Here is a 20,961-nt window from a genome sequence, read left to right as displayed (position 1 = left end):
AGTCTGCTTTTGGGCCGGGCGCAATGGCTCACACCCATACTCCCAGCACTTTGGGAGGCCAAGGTGGGCGGATCACCTGAGCTCAGGATTTTGAGACCAGCCTGACCAACATGGAGAAACCCCATCTCTACTAAAAATACAAAATTAACCAGGCGTGGTGGTGCATGCCTGTAATCCCAGCTACTCGGGAGGCTGAGGCAGGACAATCACTTGAACCAGGGAGGTAGTGGTTGCGGTGAGCCAAGATCGTGCCATTGCACTCCAGCCTGGGCAACAAGAACAAAACTCCATCTCAAAAAAAAAGTCTGCTTTTAAATAAAGTATGTTAATTTAATAAAATCAAAATCTATTGACAACAACAGCAAGAAAGAAGGAATGGCGTTTAACAGAACTGATTTTTTTTTCAAATTATAGAAGGGGTCACCACAAAATTTTTTAGTTAGCAAGATGTGTTTCTGCACTTAAAATGCTACTCATTTATCCACAGCTTTTTAGAGGAAGCATTTATTTTATAAAACCGTATGAACTGGAAGTGCCGGACCAGTGAGTCTGATGGAGTAGAGTTATTCACAATTAACTTACGGTTGTAAATTATCCTTCTTTTCTTGCTGTGTCTTTCTTTCTATCTGTGTATGAAGAATATTTGTTGCCTGCCTCACAGTTTACTGATGTTTATTTCTAAGCTGAGTAATCTGTACTTTGTCAGAATTTTTTATATGGTTGTCACAGCCATACAACTTAGAAAACTAAGCATAATAGTTTTTGGGTTTTTTCAGTGGTACAGTTTACTTATTTGAGTTTCTAATGATAATACAAAACCAGAAATGTATATTACTGAAAAGAAAAATCCACAAGATTAAGTCAAATAATTAAAAATAAACTAAAGGCTAAAAGCTTTTTAAAAGATTAAGTTAGAGTCATTTTGTTTTTCCAAAATGGATTGTTTATTTCAGTTCTCAAATTAAAATTAATGATTTATAATACCTCCTAAATTGTATTATCTAAAGTTTTCATTTATTAAGTATTTTGTGGAAGTTACGAATATTGATACATTGTCTTCCAGTAATTTATAATATATCTGTATCAATCTTTAGAAAAATGTTGTGACAAGGAGTTATTGACAAAGACTCAGTAAGATGTGATGTAAAAATGAACAAATTAATGAGCAAAAACAACATTATGTATTTTGTTTTTTATAAATTATATTTGATTTTAATGGATTTGACATTTTCTCTTTGAACACAGTTTTGCCAGGTCTATATTTAGGAGAGAAAATGAGAATGTAAATTGAAATAACATTTAATATTAATTTCGTCTCTGGCATGTATAAGGAAGGAAGGTTTAAACAAAGCATGGCAAGTTATAGAGACTGGTAGTCTCAGGTTCATCTAAAATGATTATCATCATGTAAGCACCTTCTGGAACACATAATCTCAATGCTCAATAATAACAATAAATATAATTTAATTTTGTTATCTATAAACATTTATTGAGCACTTATGTGTCAGGTACCAATTAAGCTCTCTGTGTATTAATTCACTTAATAACTCTAAGAGCTTTATCATATTGATATCCTTATTTTACAGATGAGAAAAGGGAGGCATGAAAAAGTGAAGTAATTTGCCCATGAGCACACAGCTGGCAAGTAGCTGGGCAGGGTTCAAGATATGCAGACTTGCTCCAGCAAACATGCCCCTAACCACTTCACTAGGGCAGTGGTTCTCAGCAGCATCAGCAGCACCTGGAACATATTGAGCAGCACCTTCTCAGTCCACACCCCAGACCTACTGAGACAGAAACTCTAGGATGGTGCTTGACAATCTGTCCTTTGATGAGCCCTCCAGGTGCTTCTGGTGAACACTAAAGTCTGAGAACCCCTGCCTAGATCAAGAAAGTAGTAGTATTATTTTCAATCAAGGGCCAGCAGCGTAGTAGTGGAGACAGACCTGAAAACATATAATTGCCGTCAATCTAGTAATTGCAGTAAAGGAGGATTGTATTAGGAACAATGGTGTTGCAAAGGAGAATGTGAGGGGAAGGGAAAGTTTTGCTTTTTGAGCATTGAGAAATTTGCACTTTAGTTTCAAAGATAGAGGAAGGGCAACCAGTTTCAGTACTGATAGAGTGCAGGTTTTGCTTGTCTAGAGGTTGAATAAATAGTCCAAATGACTTCAAATGGTTCTGAATGTTTTGGCAGAGCAGGATAATCATTGTAGTGATCCTCTGTTTTGCCCATTTTCTGGCCATGATTGTGTCTCTGACGTGTGTACCATTTCTGAAATTGATGGTTACAAAGTAGTCAGAGGAGATGTTTTAAAGATCAAAGAAGGTAATGATGGCCCTTTTTTTTTTTTTTGCCTAGAAAAAATATTTAGCATTAGATGTTAGAAAGACTGACCTTCAATAACAGTACCCACTTTATCTACCTTATTAAATCCAAAGTTAAGTCTACTAAAACTACAGTCTGTTGCATTGGGATGTGACAGAATTAGCATTACAAGATAGTGTCATAGCTTGTGATACCTAAATCACTTGACCTGTTCGGTGAGCCATTCTCATTTTTCAGGGTACAGTATTTTAGAAATTCTCACAGTGGGCTTCCAGGCTAAACAGATTCTTTGCACTTCTCGTTCTGCTGGAAACAGGGATTAGACATAAAGTAAACATCATGGCCTGACTACTCTTTGTAACATCTTCGAAGAGATGGCCCTGATATGCACCACTGTTTTCAATCACTTAAAAGGCAATAATTCAATTATGCCATCCTTTATATAAGAACTGCCATTGCTTTCAGTTCACTTCCAGGCCTGACACAAGTAAATCACTTCAATAAAATCCCTCTTTTCCCCTCCTAGAGACTAGCATAAGTAATGATACCAGTGATCTAGCAAGGGCAAAATGAATATAATGTTCTTTCAGAAAAGCAAAATGTTTCACTGTGTTACTTGGGAAATTATTTGTCTTGTGTGTGTTATGTGAAAGATATTTAAATCTTATTAAGTGTGCTTTTTAGAGACGTAACTATTACACTCTTTTTTAAAAAACAAATTAAGTGCATGAATTTAGCAGTTATGTGCAATTTGTGGGAAAAGGAATACACCTTAGAAAAACACCATCCAGAATTTGGGCCCATGGACAGCAAATCGTTTATAAATGTACAAAAAATATCTTCCAAGATATTGAAACAAGTTCTTTTGCATGTGAAAATAACCACCTAATTCTTTCCTACGTTCATATAAAATTTTGTTAATATGACTTATGCGTCAGACTTAAAGGACATCAGCTTGAATGTATGTTATAGTTGTCGTTTTATTAGAGGTTGCTCAGCTCACTTGACTTTCTTCTTAATGACCTCAAAAGACAGTCACTCTCTAATATTGTAGTAAATTAAGCCTTTGAGTAAATAACATCAGCTGTTTAGGCTGCTGGGGTTCAACATTATCAGGTGTTTGTATATAAAGATTAAAATATATGGCAGCTGGTAAAATACTTAGGGTCCGTGTTATGCCAGATTATTCTCCTCATTAACTTTTGCTTTGAATATATTCACCAGTACCTCTCAGTGAATGATAAAATGTTTTCATTTCAACAAGCCTAACTCATGGGATTCAATAAGTCTGTTCAAGGGATATTTAAAAATAGGTTACACTTTTAAACAAGTGATAATGGACTCACTAAAGCTTAACATTTCTCTTTGATGTCAGATATAGTTTTATAATAGAACTGCAAGTAATATTCTAGTCAATTTCTCCACCAACTTTAGCATTCAGTCACTGAGAAAAATCCTGTTTGGACCACATTATTCTGAATTAGGATTATACAGACAGGCAGAATAAATTGGAAAAAATATAATCTAAGAGGATAAAATATTTTTGCCTGTTTTAGATATACTTTTAAAGGCACTTATATTTACCATCTTCTATGTGCCAGACACTATTTTAGGTAATTCAAATGCATTTTCTCATTTAATCCTTATAGTAATACTTCTTATTGTTATTCTCTGTTTTATTTTTATTTTCCATAGCACTATTATCAACATCTAACATACTACATGTTTTTCTTCTTCTCTCCCCCACTTTTCACCCCAACTCCCAGTCTTCCCTTTACCCTCATCACTCATTAGACAGGGAATTTTTTTTTGTTTTGTTTTGTTTTGTTTTGTTTTGTTTTGTTTTGCTATCTCTGCAATTTCTTGTTCATAGTAGTGACTCAATACTTTTTTTTCAATGAATGAGTGGCCCTGTGAGGCAGATGTTAGGCTCCCCAGTGTATAGATAAAGAGAGGTTAAGAAAGTAACAAAGTCAGAATGTGAAAATGGTTGTAGATGATCACCTACTCATCTATTCATTCATGCATTTGATAAATGACATTAAAGCCCATGATATTTCCAATATATTGCACTGCTTACCATACATAAATTACATTGATAAAAAAATCCGCATAATTATATTTTTTAACCAACTCACTACAATGGGTTCCCAAAGTACCAATGTTAGACCAGCAGTTCTTTTGTTTTTGTTCATTGGTGGTTTATCATAGTCTCATTTTGTAATGTGAAATTAATTTTAAATAAATAATACACACATCCAAAATTCAAAAGTTATACAGGAGTATATGGTGAAAAGTATCCATCCTCACACCTATCTTCCATTTCTAAACTTGCCTGCTCATTGGAATCACCAGGGGGGAATGTTAACAATTACTGAAGCCTGTCTCCCACTCCCAAAGATTGTGATTTAATTGGTATGGGACTGTGGTGTTGGCTTTGGAATTTTTAGAAGTTCACCTGGAGAGACATTGCTTTTAGTAAAGGTAAAGCCACAAGGGCCAAATATACCCTATTTCCTGAAACAACTAAGAAACATACAAAATATGCAAAACAATGTTTTTTATGACACTGGATATCAGGCAACAAAAGACAATAATCTCTGAGGGATGGGAAACAAATGAGGAGAGCCCTGTGATGATGCAGCTTATTTCCTGAGGGGGTATAGACCATGGCAGTGGGGGAGAATACAGGCAGAGCCCACCAGACTCCCTGAGTTGAGAGGTCAGAGCTGAGTTTGCAGAGACCAAAACAGTGAGAATTCACAGGACAGGCAATAGAAAAGGTGAAAGCTGCATGGAAAAAGCACTCAAAGATCTACAGAGGATCCCTAAAGAACTCCAAAGATTTATAGAGGATCCCTTTTGAGTGTTCAGCTGAGATTTGCTAAGGGAATCCATACGATGAAACTACCAGAGGCTGCAGGGAAGAGTACCTGAAAAGATTAGGGGGAAACAAACAGTACCTCGTGGTCACCCAGGGATAATGCCTGACGTAATCAGCTGGACTGGAAAACCTTGTGATTTAGAAGGCATTTGGTAGACTATTCAGAAGGGTTTTGCTTCAGTAGTGAGGAAGAATTAGCCCTCAACTAAATAGTGTTCCAGTCCTACTTAAAATATCTTGAAAGCAAACTCCCAAAGGATCAAATTATTTCCAGGTAACTTAACTATATCCCAAAAGAAACCTCAAGACATGTCTTATATTTATGTCCTTATAAATAGAATACAAAAATATTCAGCACCTGACAAAATTCACAATGCCTAGTATCTAATTAAAGATTACCAGGAATGCAAAGATGCAGAAAAATATGACCCGTAGTGAAGAGATAATCAGTTGAAACTAAGTCAGAACTCACATAGATATTCTAATTAATAACAAGGACATTCAGACACTTACTATGATTGTATTCCATACATTCCAGAAATTAAGGAGAGATGTAGAAGATTTACCAAAAATCAAAGTCACAATTCTAAAGATGAAAACTGCAGTGTATAAAATGAAAAATATACTGGATGGGATTAGTGGCAGATAGACACTGCAGATGAAAAGATTAGTGAACTTGAAGACATAGTGATAGAAACTACCCAAAATGAAACACAAGGAGCAAAGATAAATTTTTAAAAATTGAAAGAGTGTCAGTTGTGGGAAAATTTCAAGTGGCCTAATATCTGTGTAATTGGAGGCCCTAAAGGTGGTTGGAAGGTGGGACAAAAAATATACCCAAAGAAATAATATCTAAAAATTTTTCAAATTTAATGACAATTGTAAACACAATCCAAAGAAGCCCAACAAACCCAAGCTCAAAAAGCATGAAGAAATAATACCAAATTATGTTACAGTCAAATTGCACAAAACTAGTGATATAAAGAAAATATTAAAACAGCCAGAGAATGATAGACGTATTACATAAGAGGAACAAAGATAAGGATGAGTACAGATTTCTCATTAGAAACAAAGTAAATTAGGAGACAGTGAAGCAACATCTTTAAAGTATAGGTGCTGTTTGACTAACAATGGGGTTATGGTTGGATAAACCCATCATAAATTGAAAATTTCATAAGTCAAAAGTGTCTAAGTCCAGATATAACACCATCGTAAGCTGAGGACTGTATTGAATGCCTACTGCTTTTGCACCATTGTAAAGCTGAAAATTTGTAAGTTGAACCATTGCAAGTTGGGGATCATCTGTACTGAAAAAGAAATCAAGTCTGTTAACTAGAATTCTTTACCCAGCAAAAATATCTTTCAAAAAAACAAAAGCAAAATAAAGACTTTTCCAGACATACAAAAGGCGAAGAATTCACCACCAGTAAACTGCAGTACAGATATTTTAAAGGAAGTCCCTCAACCAGAAAGAAAATTATACCAGATGTGAATCTGGATGTAAACAAAGGCATGAAGAGCACAGGAATAAGAACTACATGGATAAGTAGATTAATTTTTTATTATTTAAATATTTTAAGAAGATAGTTAACCTTTTAAACAAATATAATAACAATTAGAATGGAGTTTATATAAAAAATAAAATGTTTGACCAGAATGGCACAATGGCTGGAAGGGAGAAATGAAAATATATTATTTTGAGGGTCTTATACTAACTTGAAAGATTTAGTGTCACTTGAAGGTAGATTGTGACAACTTAAAGATATTTACTATAAATCCTAAGTCATTTACTAAAATAACAAAAGAAAGTTATATCTAATAAACCAACAAAGAACATGAAATGAAATCATTTAAAGAAAACCCAAAAGAAAGCAAAAAAGAGGAAAGAGATAAAAAAGAACAGATGGGACAAACAGAAAGCAAATAGCCAGACTTCAACTTAACTATATCAATAATCACCTTAAATATAAATGCACTACATATCTCAAAAAGCAGAGATTGTCAGTTTGAATTAAAAAGTAAGACCTGATTATATGTTGCCTACAAGAAATATGCTTTCTATGTAAAGACATAAGTTGAAAGTAAAGCAGTGAAAAAAAGTAGCATGTTAACAATAATTTTGAAAAACTTAAGAGTTGTATTAATATCAAAGTAGATTTCAGAGAAAAGAATTTTACTAGGGATAAAGTAGATAATTTCATACTATTAAAGGGCTCCATTCTTCAAGGGTAATATACAGTCCTACATCTTTATGTCTGACAGAAGTATAAAAAAAACAGACAAATATACAATCATGGTTGGAAATTTTAATATCCCTTTCTTAGTAATTGATAGAGCAAGTAGACAGAAAATGAGTAAAGACCCAGAAAATTTGAACAACAGTATCAACTAACTTGACCCAATTGATGTTTAGAAAATATTATCTAAAATTAGGCCGGGTACGGTGGCTCACACCTGTAATCCCAGCACTTTGGGAGGCTGAGGCAGGTGGATCATGAGGTCAGGAGATCGAGACCATCCTGGCTAAAATGGTGAAACCCGGTCTCTACTAAAAATACAAAAAAATTAGCCAGGCGTGGTGGTGGGCGCCTGTAGTCCCAGCTACTTGGGAGGCTGAGGCACGAGAATCACTTGAACCCGGGAGGCAGAGCTTGCCATGAGCCGAGATCGCGCCACTGCACTCCAGCCTGGGCGACAGAGTGAGACTCTGTCTCAAAAAAAAAAAAAAAAAGAAAATATTATCTAAAATTAGCAGAATATGCCTTCTTTGCAAGTATACACAGAACATTTATAAAGATCTTACACTCTACGCAAAAGAAGTCTCAATAAATTTAAGGGCATTCAAGTCATACAAAGTGTGCTCTCTGACCGTAATGGAATTATATTAGAGAAAATAACAAGAAGATATCTCTAAAGTCCCCAAATATTTGAAAGTCAAATAACACATGTCTAAACAACCCTTGGGGGAAGGAAGACATCAAGAGGGAAATTAGAAAATATTTTGAACTGAATAAAAATGAAAATACAGCATATAAAAACTTGCAGGATTCTGCTAAAACATTACTTCCAGAAAATTTATAGTGCTACATCTCTGCTTTAGAAATGAAAGGTCCCAAATCAATAACCTCATCTTCAATCTCAAGAAACTAGGACAAGAGTGAATGAGACCCAAAGCAAGTAGAAGAAAGAAAATAATAAATATCAGAGTAGAAATTGATGGAATAGAAAACAGGGAAGAAGTAGAGAAAAATCGATGAAACAAAAAGTAGAGATTAATAAAATTGACCATCTGCTGGCCAAACTGAGCAAGAAAATAAGGGAAGAAAATATAAATTACCGTAATCAAGAATGAAAGGAATAATATCACTACAGGTTCTACAGGTATTGAAAGGAAAGATAATAAAGGAATATTATGAACACTTACAATTAAAATTTAACAATTTAAACAAAATGGACAAATTTCTCGTAGACAGAATCTACCAAAGCTCATTCAAGAGAAAACAGATACTCTGATAGTTTTGAATTTGTAGTTAAAAAACTTTTACAAAGAAAACTCTAGGTCCAGATGGTTTCACTGGTGAATGATACCAAACATTTAAGGAAGAAATAATGACAATTCTACCTGAAATCTTCTAGAAAATTGAAGAGGAGGGAAGAGTTTTAACTAATTCTATGAGACTAGCCTTATCTTGATACTAAAACTAGAGAAAGACCAATATTCTTCATGAATATACATGGAAAAATTCTAAACAGAATTTTAGGAAATTGAATTAAAAAAACGATAATATGTCATAAATAACTAGGGCCTAGTTCAGGACTGCAAGGTCGATTTCACATTTGAAATTCAATGGATGTAATGATTGTACTGACAAACTAAAAACAAAACTATATGATTGTCTCAACAGACACAGAAAAAGCATTTAGCAAAATTCAACCTCTATTCTTGAAAACTCTCAGCAAACTAGGAATAGAAGAGAACCTTTAGTCTGGTAAATTGTATGTACAAAAAACCTAGAATGAATATTATACCTAATGGTGAAAAATTGAATGCTTTCTGTAAGATAAAGAAGAAGTTATTGATGTCTGTTCTTTTTTTTTTTTTTTTTTTTTTTGAGATGGAATTTCGCTCTTGTTGCCCAGGCTGGAGTGCAATGGCTCGATCCTGGCTCCCTGCAACCTCCGACTCCCGGGTTCAAGCGATTCTCCTGCCTCAGCCTCCCGAGTAGTGGGGATTACAGGCATGGGCCACCATGCCCAGCTGATTTTGTATTTTTAGTAGAGACGGGGTTTCTCCATGTTGGTCAGGCTGGTCTTGAACTCCTGACCTCAGGTGATCCGCCCACCTTAGCCTCTCAAAGTGCTGGGATTACAGGTGTGAGCCACTGTGCCCGGCGCATTCTTACCACTGCTAATTCAACATTGTACAGGTAGTTTTAGCCATTGCAATAAGTCAGGAAAAATCAAAGTCATTGTGATTGAAAAGACAGAAGTAAAACTATCTTTGTGTACAGGCATCGTGATTATCTATACAGAAAACCCAAATCTCCAAAACCCACTAGAACAAATGTGTTTGGCAAGTTCACAGAATACAAGATCAATATACAAAATAAATTGTATTTCTATCTATTATAAATGAATATCAGAAATTGAAGTTAAAAAGCAATATTTACTATAATACAAAGTAGGGATAAATCTGGAAAGGATATGCAAGACATATATACTTAAAACTACAAAAACATTGCTGAGAGAAATTAAAGAAGACCTAATGAAACGGAAGGATATACTGGTTCATGATTTGAAGGATGCAATATTAAGATGTCAGTTATGCACAAATTGATATGTAGATCTAAAATAATCCTGACCAAAATCACAGGAGTCTTTTTTTGTAGAGATTGACAAAGTAATATTAAATTTCATATGGAAATGCAAAGAACTAGAATAGCCAAAACAACTTTGAAAAAAAGATAGAGTACTAATACTACCTAATGTCAAAAGTTCTAATAATTTTATTCAGCTACAGTAATCAAGACAGTATAGTTTTGGTGTCAAGTTCCACAAACACATCAATAGAATAAAGAGTCCAAGAGTAGACCCACATGTATGTGATGGAGAAGGGACAGTCTTCTCAACAAGTAATGTTGGAATAATGGGATATTCATAAGCACAAAAATAAACAATTCATAACTCATTCATATATAAAATTAACTCAAGATGAATCATAGACACAAACATAAAACCTCACACTATAACACTTTCAGAAAAAGACTAGGAGAAAACTTTTGTGGTCTTGGGCTAGGCAAAGATCTTAAAATATGGCACCAAAAGCATGATCCATAGAATTACAAATGGATAAATTGCACTTCATCAAAATTAAAAACTCTGCTTTTAAAAAGAAACTGTTTAGGAGAGAGAAAACACAAGCCACAGCCTAGAAGAAAATATTTGCAAATCATATATTCTATAAACACCAGTGCCCAGAATATAAAAAGAAATCTCAAAACTCAGAAAACAAATAACCTAATTTTTTAAATAAACAGATATTAACAGCTAGAAATATGGAAGCAAATAAGCACAGAAAAAGATGTTCAACATTGTAGTCATTAGGGGAACACAATTAAAAGTATGATGGAATACCAGCACATGCATATTACAATAGCTAAAATTAAACGTTGACCATATCAGGCGTCAGTGAGAGTACAGAGGACCTGGAATTCTCATACACTGATGGTGGGAATGCTAAATTGTATGACTACTTTGACAAATAGTTTGGCAGTTTCTTTAAAAATTGCACATATATGCAATTTAGTCATTTCATCCTTAGATGTCTTTCCAAGATAAATAAAAGTATATGTCCATTTGTTAAAAAGTATGCATGAATATGTGTAGCAGCTTCATTTTAACATTCAAAAACTGGAAACAAGTCAAATATCCATCAATAAGTGAATAAACCATAATACATCCATGCAATATAATGATACTCAGAGCAAGAAATATTAATGTATGCCCCAACATGATAAATCTTAAAATACGCTGAGTGAAAGAAGCCAGATAAAAAAGAATATATTAGGTAAGATTTCATCTTTGTAAAAGTTTAGAAAATGCGGACTAATCTGCAAGAACAGAAATTATATTAGTGGTTTCCTTGGAAAGGTTTGTTGCGATGGGGACCATGGAGCATAGGAGCTTGAGGAAGCTAGCTTTTGTAGGTGTTAGGTATTTTTGTTATTGTGCTTGTGGCAATGGTGTTACTGGTGCGTACATATGCCCAAACTGATCAAACTATACACTTTATTTTTATTTTTTTAAGATGGAGTTTCACCCTTTTGTCTAGGCTGGAGTGAAGTGGCACGATCTTGGCTCACTGCAACCTCTGCCTTCAGGTTCAAGCAATTCTCCTGCCTCAGCTTCCTGAGTAGCTGGGTTTATAGGTGCCTACCAACATGCCCGGCTGATTTTTGTATTTTTAATAGAGACAGGGTTTTGCCATGTTGGCCAGGCTGGTCTTGAACTCCTGACCTTGGGTGATCCACCCGCCTGGGCCTCCCTAAGTGCTGGGATTACAGGCGTGAGCCACTGGCCCGGCTCCGGCCCCATACACTTTAAATATGTGCCACTTTTTGTATTTTAATCATATCTCAATATAGTTTTTTTTGTTTGTTTGTTTCAAGATCCCTAGTTGACTCAAACATACACACAAATGTGAGAATCACTACTCCAATCCTTCAAGTCCCTGATTTCACCCTGCAGAGGCAACCTCTTCTAGGCAGTTTCTTGTTCTGGAAACTGGAACATTCTAGAAATCCTGTGCATATGCAGGCATATATGAACATACATATCCTGTGTTCTAACTTCACAAATGGTAGCATACTTTACATATCATTCTGTATTTTACTTTTTTCACTTACTATATCTTGAAAATTATTCCATATCTATACATACGGAATGACATCATTCTTTTTGACACCTTTTTGCAGTGGATCTGGATCCTAATTATTTTGACTATAAGAGGTGGTACTTTATTCTTACTCTAAAACAATTTGAGAATAGAGATGTAACTTAAATAGTTGCGGAGTTAATTTTCCTTTTACGCATATCCTTAAGTCCTCATAGTCATAGTCATACTATATATTATAAAATGCGTTCATCTATGTGGGTATATAAGCTTTCTACAACACCAAATTTACTATGAATTAGGTAGTAATTTTTCACAGGTAAAGTTTGCATATTTACGTGAAATGTTGACAAGTATTGACATTTTAAAAAGTTATTATGACATTTTATTTGCTTTGCTTATTCCCTCAATATGAAATGTGGTGTTTTGTTTGTCCTTCCTCATTTAACACATATTTTATAAGTCTTCTTTTGTCCTTTGCTGGTCAATTTGGCATTGGTCTTTGGGCCACAGCTGTTCCAGAAATGTGTACCATGCAGACTAATCTGTTATCAGTATGCACTTTTGGCAAACAAATTGGCTAAAATTGTACTGGCTTTTTTTTTTTTTTTTTAAAGCAGAAGGTCAAATTGTCCAATGCCAAAATATTTTTTTTATTTTTTAAAGTTAACCTCACTGTTTGGTTGATAGACTATGTTACAGGAGGAAGACCATCTACAAGACAATATACCAATTTACCTAGAGGCTAAAACTCCTTATTGGTCATTTGTGTTTTCTTCATGGGTTTTTTGTAATTTTCAGTCTTACAGCAACAAGGATCTTAGTGTTCATTATCCAAACTATCTATATTGTACTATAATCTATGAATTTGTTTGATTTCTTGGTAAATATTAGAGTCTTTCGCTGACTAAAGATAATTTGAACTTTTTGCCAACATTTCATCGGTTGTTGGATCAGTGCAATTTGTATCAACTGAGTATTGGTTTTGTATTTGTTAGCTGATGAAGTCAGTAAGAAGAGTCATTGCAGCTCCTTGCAGTAAATTCATTCACTCATTATTTTTCACATCATGGAATTCCATATTCCTGTGGTCAGGTTTCATAGCTCCTGTTCACCCCTTTGTCCTTCATTTTAAAGTATTTCAGGGGATTGTCCTTGTCCTAGTCAGTGATGTTTGCTTGCAGTCATACACCTGAGGTCATGTCTCTGAGGAGTCACTGTACAACAGAATAAATGTACATGTTTTGAATTTCATCTTTCTGTGCAGTGGTTGCTTTTTGGCTGAGAAAATGGTTTTACTGATTAGTGAGTTACCTCTAAGACCTCTCTCTATCTCTGAGTCCTTTACATTTTAGTTAACCTGTGATATGTCACTCTAACCTAGGGAAAGTGTGGAGAGCCTGATTCAAAAGCATTCCAATGCACCTTCACCCATCCGTACCTATGGAGGAGAAGAAGATGTCTTGGGGGATGAGAGTCAGACAACCCCAAATCGAGGTAAGGTAGCTTCCAAGGCCATGGAATTGCTGGGAGGCAGAGCACCTAAAGGAGAATGGGGGCAGGTCGTTGATGAGATGGCCAGTCCTCAGAGTACATGATGCCGGGAAAGGATTTCAGGAGCCTCCCTGGGAAGGGAGAGCCCCGACATTGATCCTCACAGATTTCATTATTTTGCCTTTGAATCATAGGCGATGCTGCTGCCTGCAGGTTTCCTATGGTTTGTTTTTTTTTTAAGTGAAAGAATACTGAGCCTTTGAGGCAGGGATCAGGAGTTACTTGTCCATGATTTAGTACATAAGAGCTGTTGAACTTTGGGGGCAGTCACCAAGTCCTTCTGAACCTCAGTTTGATAATCTGAAAGTCAGGGAATATATCTGTTCCATCTATGTCAGGTATAATTTGTTAGAATCAAAGACCAAAATAGAAAACACTTTTAAAAGAGGATTGTCCTAATGAAGGATATTACGCAGAGGAAGTGGCCCCAATGTTGACAGCAGGAACTGAACAAAGTTTCTCTGTTCCCAAGGCTTAGAGAGCAGCACTCTGCATCTGGGAAGAGAGTCCAGAGAAAAGAGCCCAGAGGGGCTCCATTCTGGGAACAGTAAAGTTCGTATGGGGAGAGAGTCCTCTGCATTGTTTTATGTCCTTAATATGAAATTATATAATCTGTGAAAACATAGGACATTTCTTTTTTTTTTAATTTTTTTACTTTTTAATTATTATTTTTCCATAAATTATTGGGGGTACAGGTGGTATTTGGTTACATGAGTAGTTCTTTTATTTATTTATTTTTTTATTGATCATTCTTGGGTGTTTCTCACAGAGGGGGATTTGGCAGGGTCATAGGACAATAGTGAAGGGAAGGTCAGCAGATAAACAAGTGAACAAAGGTCTCTGGTTTTCCTAGGCAGAGGACCCTGCGGCCCTCCGCAGTGTTTGTGACCCTGGGTACTTGAGATTAGGGAGTGGTGATGACTCTTAACGAGCGTGCTGCCTTCAAGCATCTATTTAATAAAGCACATCTTGCACCACCCTTAATCCATTTAACCCTCAGTGGACACAGCACATGTTTCAGAGAGCACAGGGTTGGGGGTAAGGTCATAGATCAACAGGATCCCAAGGCAGAATTTTTCTTAGTACAGAACAAAGTGAAAAGTCTCCCATGTCTACTTCTTTCTACACAGACACAGCAACCATCCGATTTCTCAATCTTTTCCCCACCTTTCCCCCTCCTCTATTCCACAAAACCACCATTGTCATCATGGCCCGTTCTCAATGAGCCATTGGGTACACCTCCCAGACGGGGTGGTGGCCGGGCAGAGGGGCTCCTCACTTCCCAGTAGGGGCGGCTGGGCAGAAGCGCCCCTCACCTCCCGGATGGGGCGGCTGGCCGGGCGGGGGGCTGACCCCCCCACCTCCCTCCCGGACGGGGCGGCTGGCCGGACGGGGCGGCTGCCGGGCGGAGGGGCTCCTCACTTCTCAGATGGGGCGGCTGCCGGGCGTAGGGTCTCCTCACTTCTCAGATGGGGCGGCCGGGCAGAGACGCTCCTCACCTCCCAGACGGGGTCGCGGCCGGGCAGAGGTGCTCCTCACATCCCAGACAGGGCATTGGGGCAGAGGCGCTCCCCACATCTCAGAGGATGGGCGGGCAGGCAGAGACGCTCCTCACTTCCTAGATGGGATGGCGGCCGGGCAGAGACGCTCCTCACTTTCCAGAGTGGGCAGCCAGGCAGAGGGGCTCCTCACATCCCAGATGATGGGCGGCCAGGCAGAGACGCTCCTCACTTCCCAGATGGGGTGGCGGCCGGGCAGAGGCTGCAGTCTCGGCACTTTGGGAGGCCAAGGCAGGCGGCTGGGAGGTGGAGGTTGTAGCGAGCCAAGATCACGCCACTGCACTCCAGCCTGGGCACCACTGAGCACTGAGTGAACGAGACTCCGTCTGCAATCCCGGCACCTCAGGAGGCTGAGGCTGGCGGATCACTCATGGTCAGGAGCTGGAGACCAGGCTGGCCGACTCAGCGAAACCCCGTCTCCACCAAAAAAATACGAAAACCAGTCAGGCGTGGCGGCGCGCGCCTGCAATCGCAGGCACTCCGCAGGCTGAGGCAGGAGAATCAGGCAGGGAGGTTGCAGTGAGCCGAGATGGCGGCAGCACAGTCCAGCTTCCGCTCGGCATCAGAGGGAGACCGTGGAAAGAGAGGGAGAGGGAGACCGTGGGGAGAGGGAAAGGGAGAGGGAGAGGGAGGGGGAGGGGGAGGGGGAGAGGGAGAGGGAGAGGGATTTCTTATTACTCAGTCCAAGTGAACCACTAGTATTACAGTTGACTCTTGAACAACACAGTGGTTGGGGAACCAACTCCTGCGTGGTCCAAAACATGCATATAACTTTTCACTTCCTAAAACTTAACTGCTAATAGCCTGCTGTTGATCAGAAGCCTTACCTGTAACATAAACAGTCAATTCACACATATTCTGTATGTTACATGTATTACATTCTGTATTCTAATAAATCAAGCTAGAGAAAAAGTTATTAAGAAAATCATAGAAAGGAGATATATTTACTATTCCTTAAGTGGAAGTGGATCATCATAAAGGTCTTCATCCTCATCTTCACACTGAGTTGGCAGAGGAGGAAGAGGAGGGGTTGGTCTTGCTGTCTCGGAGGTTGTAGAGACTGAAGAGGTGGAGGAGGTGAAAGTGAGGCAAGAGGGGTCAGGCACACTCAGTGTAAATTGTAGTGAAAAATATCTGCATGTAAGTGGATCTGTGCAGTTCTAACCCCTGTTGTTCAAGGGACAACTGTATACAGTCAGAAAATTCAGTGTCAACTATATTCTAAATTTCTGGATGCTGTGGTAGGAAAACTTACTTTCTTAGGTTCTCACAACAGTTTTGGAAACCAGACAGCTTGGTAGAGATTTAATACATTCAGCCTTCCTTATGACACTACAGAGGTCAGAACAGATATCAGGTATTTGCAGCTTTTTTTAAGAGAATCAGGTCATTACCTGCAGGCAGGGTATTAATGTTTTGGTCAGTCTGTGGGAGTGTGCAGGCTATCCAATGAGTTGTCTTTTTCCATTTAGTAAATTCTCTATTCCATGCAAGGTGTAAATATCATTTTCTTACCTAGAAAAGTAGATTTGCCTCGTGACAGATCTCATGTGTGTTTGTCTTTCTAAATTACAGATGTATTAAATATTCTTAAACACAAATTGATCTTTACAGATAATTTAATTCTTGATCTGTACATTGACACAGTGTTTCCAGTCTAATGAGTGTTTTTCCTTACAGGGTCAGCCTTTACAACATCTGATAATTTGTCTCTCAGCTCCTGGGTATCATCTTCTTCCAGTTTTCCTGGGTTTCAGCACCCACAGTCCCTGACTGCTCTTGGCACCAGCACAGCATCCATAGCAACACCCATTCCTCACCCCATCCAGGGTTCTCTGCCGCCATATAGCCGACTGGGAATGCCTTTGACCCCATCGGCCATTGCCAGCTCCATGCAAGGGAGTGGCCCCACATTCCCTTCATTCCACATGCCGCGATACCATCACTATTTTCAGCAGGGGCCCTATGCTGCCATTCAAGGACTACGCCATTCCTCTGCTGTGATGATGCCATTTGTATGACTCTTCTAAAATAGGGAGAATCCAGATCCAGAATGTGCAAGTGGGTATGGAAATATAGGACAGGGCTGGGTGGGTGGGATGTGGGGTATTGGAGTAGGGGCTTTCCAGGAGACACAGGACCTATCAAAGAGGAGAGCCGGACTCACAATAAAACCTACCACTGAGGGAATGCACCACGGACCAGGATTCATCTGAGGGACAGCTCCTGGGTTCAGGAGAGAATCCATGTAAAGTTCTCAGCCAGCCTGAAAGTTTACTAATACAAGGCTGATGAATCTTAAAGTGCATTATTCCTCATGGTTAAAACGCTGTGTTGATGCAGTAAAAGATAAAAGAATCTTCAAAGAGGCCATACTATATAGCATACTGATCATAATGACTAACTGAAGTCAATTTATCCCTGTAGAAAATGGGAGCCAGTAGAGAAATATTTGTAGTGCTGTAGCATAAGCATGTTTAGTTTTCTTTTGTGTTATTCTGCTGGGGAAGGAGCTGAGATAATGCTAATGCATCCTGTTTTGTGGATGAATACATGGTAATGACCTCACAAAGTTCTATTTGTAATATTGAAGGGCCAGTAACCAACAAGCTCAGTTTTCACAGTCTTCTTTCTTCCCAGTTCTCTTTATTGCAAATACTTGCCAGAGTTAGGGTTGGGGCTAGAGTTATGGAGGAAAAATCCTCCATATACAGTTTTGAAGCAAGAGCCTCTCTATATTACATGGTGAAACTGAAGTTTGATTTTTCTGGGCTGCATTCTAAACACACTACTGACTAATTCACTGAGGAACACTCCAAAGCCTAGGCATGATGTTCTGTGAGGCTTGCTTTCACTTACAGCTGCAACAGAAGGATGGTTGTTCTATTCCAGAAGGATTTCTCTGCTGTTGGTGCCAGAGATCCCTTCATTTTCACTTCAGTTTTGGAAGACCTTGTGGATGTTAAAATGCATCTGGACAAATTCTCATTTTCAGTAAATCTGCCTTGTGGTTGCTGCCGCTGATTGACAAGGATTTGAGAATGACCATTCTAAATGCCAGGATAGCCATGATTTAACTTATGTTCCTGAGTGGAAATGTGTCCATACATCTAATTTGGCCTTTTTCCTTACTGTGTTACATTTAGTGACTCCTTTACCATTTTGCTAGGTCTGTAATCTTAAATTGCTTGATAACGTGATGGCTCCATAACTGAAATGTTGGCAATTCTTATAAGCAATCTAAAGCATTCTTCCACTTTATTTTCAACTTTTGCTATCTTCTTAAGCCTTCCTTTAATGTTTATAATAGTAACAAATATTTTAGTTATATATGACCTGTATATTGTTTTTGAACAGCATATATATATATATAAAAGCATTTACAGTCAGGGTAACACATTTGGCATTTTGCAACAATTTATTTCCCTAATAACATAGATTTAATGAAATTAATAGTTTTTCAACTTTAGATTTAATGCACTTCAACTACAGGATGTAACCTGTCGTCTTAGCAAATTTCTCCAAAACTCTAATTTAATTTTTGTATGTAATATTCATTCTACTCTTCTTGCTACAAAAGTATTGAATCTGTTAAAAGGGATGGGAAATATTTCTACTGACAGTAGAAGTGTATTTGGGGGGAAATGCAATATACTTATCACATCAGACTCCCGTGGGATTTTATTTGGTGGTTTTAATGTTAGCCTTTTTCATATCACATGCCTTTCTGGGCACTTCCAGCCTGTGAAACAAGGCATCATGGCACAGCCTGTCTAGGTGATGCTGTTGTTGGATTTTGCACTTGTTATTCTCCACTGTACTCCAAAGTTTACTTACAGAAAAGCATGGGCTGCGTTAACAAAGCATCTCACGATCCTACAGCAAACACTGTGGGCCAATTTTTAACTTGTTGCATGTTATGCTGTAGTACCCACATGTAGTTTGTTTTCAAACAAAGTACAGGTGTGCATTTCTTTAAAAAAGCAGTTATGAGTAATGTTTAAACTATCCATAGAGCTAGGATAGGGGTTTACTGTTTAATAGCTGGCCTGTTGCCAGTGCTCCTTTGAATATAGAGTACTGCTGCTTAAAGCAGGAATAACAAAAGATGCTGTTTTACATAATGCTACTCAATACCCTGATAAATTACTGGTCTACTAAGGTGAATCTGTATCTGAATTTTATTTTCAAAGAAGATGAAAAGATTGTTTTAATACATACTGTTTTGACATTTCTACCAATCTGTGTGTCTCAAAGAGATTTGTGTGTTTTTGTTGAATATGGTTTTACCTAGTATTTCCTGACTTCATAATTTTATTTTGTAATTAAGCAATATAAGACTATAAATAAGAGTGCTTAGAGAAAACAAAGACTAGTCAGACCTAAAATTCTAAATTGGATATATATTTTTAAGTATTATTCGAACCAGAGAAAAGAAGCACAAGTGAAATAGAGCTTAACCTCATCAGAGTCACTTGAGCCATGGAAACCAAGGGGTAGAAATTTCCCCTCCCTGGGCCTTTCTGAGGTATCCTGGTCATTGATTCTTATTAAACCCTTGGGAGTTTAGTATTTAAAATTCCAATGCCCATTCTGGCAAAAGTAATTTCAAGAACTACCTATTTAATGGGAAAGCCAATTGAATAATAAAGGCCATGAATTGTAATATATTTAGAATATATTCAGGGTTCCTCCCACGCCTCACCCCGCCCCCCGAGTATATTATAGTGTCAAAAAGCATGGCTAATGGGAAGTGCTGCTAAAAAGAGGTCCTGCCAGACCTGCTTTATCTAATCCTGAGGAATTAATTCAGAACTTAATAGGTTTTGCAGTTGTGGTTTGTTTTTAAAATATCAATAATTCTGAGTAGATTCAAGGTCTTTTTTTTGTTTTGTTTTGTTTGAGACGGAGTCTCACTCTGTTGCTAGGCTAGAGTGCAGTGGCATGATCTCGGCTCACTGTAACCTCCGTCTCCTGGGTTCAAGCAATTCTCCTGCCTCAGCCCCCTGAGTAGCTAGGATTACAGGTGCGTGCTACCATGCCCAGCTAATTTTTGTATTTCCAGTAGAGACGGGATTTTACCATGTTGGCCAAGATGGTCTCGATCTCTTAACCTTCTTATCCACCCACCTCGGCCTCCCAAAGTGCTGGGATTACAGGCGTGAGCCACCGCACCCGGCCTCAATTTTTTTTTTTTTGCTAACTTAGTCTTCTCCTCTCCTCTGTCTACCCTTAGCAATATATAGGTAAACATATCCAGCTTGTCTAACACATCACAGATTATTAGTTAACAAGGTGTAGATTAATGAGCTTTTATATTGTATTGCTGGATCTTTTGAGTTAATAACAATGGTAACTTGTCCAGAAGGCCTATCATCATTCCTAGTAGGTGGGCACAGAGTAACAGATATTAAGAAGCTTCCTGATGAGTCGTCACCTAGCAAAGGCCCTGTGTAGGGCTATATTATAGGAGTTACATTGACTTCTGGGGCATTCGAAGGTCTCCCCCCTTATCCATATCTCTGTCATTTTGCTTCTCCAGCCACGACAACACACTTTCCTCTCCAACTGCTCCCTCCCCACCAAAAAAGAAAACCCTCTAAAAGGCCAAGGAATAAATATTCTTAGAAGTAAAGTATCTTCATCCCATGCTGCCTTTTTCAAAGAGGTGTTAGGATATTTATCCTATTTCTGTATTTCACAGTAGCTTTTCAGGCTGTCCTGCTTATGTATAAGCTGATTT

General features: G+C 37.9%; 1 pseudogene; it reads left to right on the top strand.

Moving 5' to 3' along the window:
• The window catches only part of LOC100418730 (T-box 20 pseudogene), a 40,189-nt pseudogene extending 22,950 nt beyond the window's left edge, over nt 1-17,239 (top strand).

The sequence above is a fragment of the Homo sapiens genome, chromosome 12 (assembly GCF_000001405.40).
Source record: "Homo sapiens chromosome 12, GRCh38.p14 Primary Assembly".
Classification (NCBI taxonomy): Eukaryota; Metazoa; Chordata; class Mammalia; order Primates; family Hominidae; genus Homo; species Homo sapiens.
The sequence above is the reverse complement of the archived record's forward strand: the minus strand, read 5'-3'. Positions and strand labels throughout refer to the sequence as shown.